Source organism: Homo sapiens, chromosome 1 (genome assembly GCF_000001405.40).
Source record: "Homo sapiens chromosome 1, GRCh38.p14 Primary Assembly".
In the NCBI taxonomy this organism is placed as follows: Eukaryota; Metazoa; Chordata; class Mammalia; order Primates; family Hominidae; genus Homo; species Homo sapiens.
Genome location: NC_000001.11, coordinates 157,670,911 through 157,676,480, shown reverse-complemented (window position 1 = coordinate 157,676,480; position 5,570 = coordinate 157,670,911).

The window sequence follows — 5,570 nt, the reverse complement described above, 5'->3', positions numbered from 1 at the left end:
CCAGTTTCCACTGTCTTTCTCACACTTACCCTTTTAGTATATCTTTACATCAGAGCCTATTCTCACTCATGGTTTACCAAATAGAAAGCCACATGAGAAGCTTAGGTTTTGTCACTAACGTATATTAAAAAGATTATTTTAATTTTATCAAGATCAGATTTGGGTGGGGACACAGAGTGAAACCATATCATTCTGCCTCGACCTCTTCCAAATCCCATGTTTTCACATTTCAAAATACAATCATGACTTCCCAACAGTCCCTTAAAGTCTTAACTCATTCCAGCCTTAATACAAAAAGCCAAGTCCAAAGTCTCATCTGAGACAAGGCAAGTCCCTTCCAACTAGGAGCCTGTGAAATTAAAAGCAAGTCAGTTACTTCCAAGATACAATGGGGATACAGGCATTGGATAAATGCTTCCATTTTAAATGGGAGAAATTGGCCAAAACAAAGAGGCTACAGGCCCCATGCAGGTCCAAAATTCAGTGGGGCAGTCATTACATCTTAAAGCTCCAACATAATCTCCTTTGACTCCACGTCTCACATCCAGGGCACACTGATGCAAAGAGTGGGCTTGCATGGCCTTGGGCAGCTCTGCCTTTGTGGCTTTGCAGGGTACAGCCCCCATCCCAGCTGCTTTCATGACTGTCATTGAGTGTCTGCAGCTTTTCCAGGTGCACGATGCAAGCTGTGAGTGGACCTACCATTCTGGGGTCTAGAGGATGCTGGGCTTCTTCTCACAGCCCCACTAGGCAGTACCCCAGTAGGGATTCTGTGTGGGGGCTCCAACCCCACATTTCCCTTCTGCACTGCACTAGCAGAGCTTCTCCATGGGTACTTCATCCCTGCAGCAGACTTCTGCCTGGACATCCAGGAGTTTCCATACATCCTCTGACATCTAGGGAGAGGTTCCCAAACCTCAATTCTTAACTTCTGTGCACCTGCAGGCCCAAGACCACATGGAAGCCACTAAGGGTTGGGGCTTGCACCCTTTGAAGCAATGCTCTTAGCTGTATGTTGGCCCCTTTAGCCATAGCTGGGATGCAGGACACCAACTTCTGAGACTGCACAAATCAGCAAGGCCCCGGGCCTGTCCTGTGAAACCATCTTTTCCTCATAGGCCTACCAGACTGTGATGAGAGGGGCTTCTCTGAAGACCTCTGACAGCCCTGGAGACATTTTCCCCTTTGTCTTGGCAATTAACATTTGGATCCTCATTACTTGTGCAAATTTCTGCCTCTGACTTGAATTTCTCCCCAGAAAATAAGTTTGTCTTGTTTGTCACATGGTCAGAAGGCAAATTCTCCAAACTTTTATGCTCTATCACCTCTTGAACAGTTTTCTGCTTAGAAATTTCTTCCAGCACATACCCTAAATCATCTCTCTCAAGTTTAAAGTTCCCAAGATCTGTAGGGCAGGGGCAAAATGCCACTAGCCATTTTGCTAAAGCAGAGAAAGAGTGACTTTTACTCCAATACCCAATAAGTTCCTCATCTGCATCTAAGACCACCTCAGCCTGGACTTCATTGTCCACATCACTAACAGCATTTTTGTCAAAATCATTCAACAAGTCTCTAGAAAATTCCAAACTTTCCCACATCTTCTTGTCTCCTTCTGAGTCCTCCAAACTGTTCCAATCTCTGCCCATTACCCAATTCCAAAGTTGCTTCCACATTTTTGGGTATTTTTATAGCAGTGCCCCACTCCCAGTACCAACTTAATACATTAGTCCATTTTCACACTGCTATGAAGACATACCCAAGACTGGGTAATTTATTTAAAAAAGAGGTTTACTTGATTCACAGCTCCACATGGCTGGGAAGGCCTCAGGAAACTTACAGTCATGGAAGAAGATGTAAGAAAAGCAAAGACCTTCACACGGCAGCAGGAAACAGCGAGTTAGCAAGAGCTGGGAAGACTGCCTTACAAAACCATCAAATCTTGTGAGAACTCACTCACTATCACGAGAACAGCATGGGAGAAACTGCCCGCATAATCCAATCACCTCCCAACAGGTCCCTCCCTTGACACATGGGAATTATGGGGATTACAATTCAAGATGAGACTTGAGTTTGAGAGCAAAACTATATCAATGGCTTTGCATCACATAATTTATTACAGGTGTGTTCTGGAATAGTTTCTATAAATTGATCCATTCTTGTAAAAAAAATTAAAAGGGATTTGAATAAATATATAGATGTGGCTATAAATATAAATTTAGATACTCATCAAACTGTTGAAAGTGGTTATTTCTGGTTGATAATGAACAGTATTTATTATTATCTATTCAAACTTTGATTTCTTATAGTGCTATGTTGACAAAAGTTTTGGGAAACAGACAGTTACTCACTCTGCAGGTGGAAGAGTAATTACTAAGTCTTTTTTGGCAATCAGCAACAATATTCTTAAATGTGCATCCCTTTAGCCCTTTAATTCTACCCAAGATTGTTGATAATAAAGAAAAAGTTGGTTCTGTATAAATTATATCAGCGGAAAATTGGTTAAATAAATTATGGTACATCCATAATATGTAGACTGTTATCACTATATAATTATATAACTAGAAAGTCCAAAAAAGTCAAACAAAAAGGTTAAAGTGTTGAAAAGTGTTGATAAACTAATAAAAATTAATTATATCCATACATGCCAGTTGTAAGTTGTAGGAAATTCAATTGCTTTTAAAAAGGAGATAACATTTATGACAATAATAAAGATGATTACATTTCTAGAAGTTCATATACAGAAAATAAACAATAAATAATAACATCCAAAAATAAGAAATAAAGGAAACCCTGAACTAAGATAGAAAAATATCTCAGTTATTTTAAAAAGAAGACCTACACATGGCCAATGAACATATAAAAGTGTTAGACATCACTAATCATTAAAGAAATGCAAATCAAAACCACCATGAGATACCACCTCACCCTAGGCAGAATGGCTATTAATAAAAAATCAAAAAATAACAGATGCTGGTGAGGTTGTGGAAAAAAGAAAATGCTTATACACTGCTGGTGGAAATGTAAATTAGTTCAGCCATTGTGGAAAGCAGTTTGGTAATTTCTCAAATAACTTAGAACAGAATTACCATTTGAACAAGCAGTCCCATTACTGGGTATATACCCAAAGGAATATAAATCATTCCACCAGAAAGACACATGCACATGTATGTTCACTGCAGCACTATACACAATAACAAAGACATGGAATCAACCTAAATGCCCATCAACAGTAGACTGGATAAAAATAAAAATGTGGTACATATAATAATGGAATACTATGCACCCATAAAAAAGAATGAGATCATGTCGTTTGTAGCAACATGGATGGAGCTGGAGGTCATTATCCTGGGTAAACAAACACAGGAAGAGAAAACCAAATACCACCTGTTCTCACTTATAAGTGGGGGCTAAATTTTGAGTACATATGGACACAAAGAAGGGAAAAACAGACACCAGGGCCCACTTGAGGTTGGAGGTTGGGAGGAGGCTGAGGATTGAAAAAGAACCTGTTGGGTACTATGCTTATCACCTAAGTGACAAAATAATCTGTATTCCAAATCCCTAAGACATGCAATTTACCTATATAGCAGACCTGTGCATGTACCCCTGAACCTGAAATAAAAGTTAGAAAAAATATGAAGCTAAAAAAAATTTAAAGAACAAAATATATCCTGGTTCTTACCTGAGATAATTAATGATAACAAAATGTCTTCATCTCATATATTTAATATAGCTGAAATTGATATTAGAAATTAAAAAATAAGATTTCAAAGGGAAATAAACATATAAACAGAGCCATTCTGTTATTCAAGCAATATTCCCAAGACTTTCTATTTTTTCCAAGACGCTTGACTGAGAAGAGGGTGTCCAGAGTTGCCAACACAACTCCTCTGTTCATTGGGAAAAAATTCTCAATTATACTTGAAAAGGATAGTTCTTTTGGCTGGGCACAGTGGCTCACGTCTGTAATCCCCGAACTTTGGGAGGCAGAGTTGGGCAGATCACCTGAGGTCAGGAGTTCAAGACCAGCCTGGCCAATACAGTGAAACCCCGTCTCTATAATAATACAAAAATTAGCCGGGCGTGGTGGTGGGAGCCTGTAATCCCAGCTACTCTGGAGGCTGAGGCAGGAGAACTGCTTGAACCCAGGAGGCAGAGGTTGTAATGAGTCAAGATCTTGCCACTGCATTCCAGCCTGGGCAGCAAGAGCAAAACTCCATCAAAAAAAAAAGAAAAGAAAAGAAAAGAAAAAGAATAGTTCTTTCTATAAATTAGTCTATCATGAATTTTACTCCACACAATCTGGTCATTTTTCTCTGAATGGATAAAGCCAAGCCCCAAATCTACCAAAGTTGAGCACACACTATGAGTCATGTACTATATTGAGTTTTTATATACATAAGTGCTGTGAATATAGTCCATGACTCATAGACTCACAAAAGATTCCAAGAGTTCAGTATTATAATACCTATTTAAAGATGAGACTGAGGCTCAGGTAGTTTAAATAGTTCAACCAATAGTTTATCATATGCAAAGTAAAGCAAAATCCAAACCCATATTTGACCAACTCTGAAATCTGTGCTCTACGTTGTCACACTACATTGCCTTCTAGTTACAAGGATGATACTAGAATTCAAAAGGACCAAACGATTTTATGGAAGGAGAACGTTATGCAGTTTACTAAACAACTGGCTTAAGCATGTGTAAATGATATTCAAGATTGTTCTATTATGAACCTCTAACCCTTCCCAATAAACACAATGCAGGTTCTCTTCTTTCATTGTCTTGGTTTTGCATTGTTCATTGATCCTTTATTTCTTCCCTCAGTGATCATTTTGTATGCAATTTGCATCAAAATGACTTTTCCCTTCTGTCAGGATTTTAATGTTACTTGCAAAACAAATTCTTATTCACTGTGTTTAAAATTGCTCAAAGTACAGAAACTTTATCAAGTCTGTTTTTAGAGGTTTGCTTTCCTGAGATGTCAATGTTAGTAGAAATATTGGTGTCTCTGCAGTAATTTGTGTCTCTGTTTATCAACATATATACTATTTCTTCATTAAATATACATCACAACCAACAAGTTTTTAAAAAATAATTCTATTTAATGGAGAGTGAGCTTCTAAGTAGTCTGATTAAATAAACACATAGATATGTAGGTGATAGATGATTAATGATAAAGAAGATAGATGATGATGATGATGATGAAGATAGATAGATAGATAGATAGATAGATAGATAGATAGATAGATACATGCATACATACATACATACATACGTACATACAGGTAGATCTGCACAAAAGTTGTGGTCTCTGAAATATCTCCTCTGTCACAGGATCAATCATTTCCCCCCACCTGTAGCATCTCAGTTTTATTCCTTAACTTCAGCACTCACTATTTGAAAGCTACTGAAGCATCAGCACTAAGCTGGCAGGAGATGTATAGATGCAAAACATCAACCAATAGGCTCAAAAAAAGACATTCTTCCCATTGCTCAAAAGACTCCTCATCTATTCTTCAATTGACTGACGTACATTGAGTAACTAGCATTGAAAAGATAAATAAAAC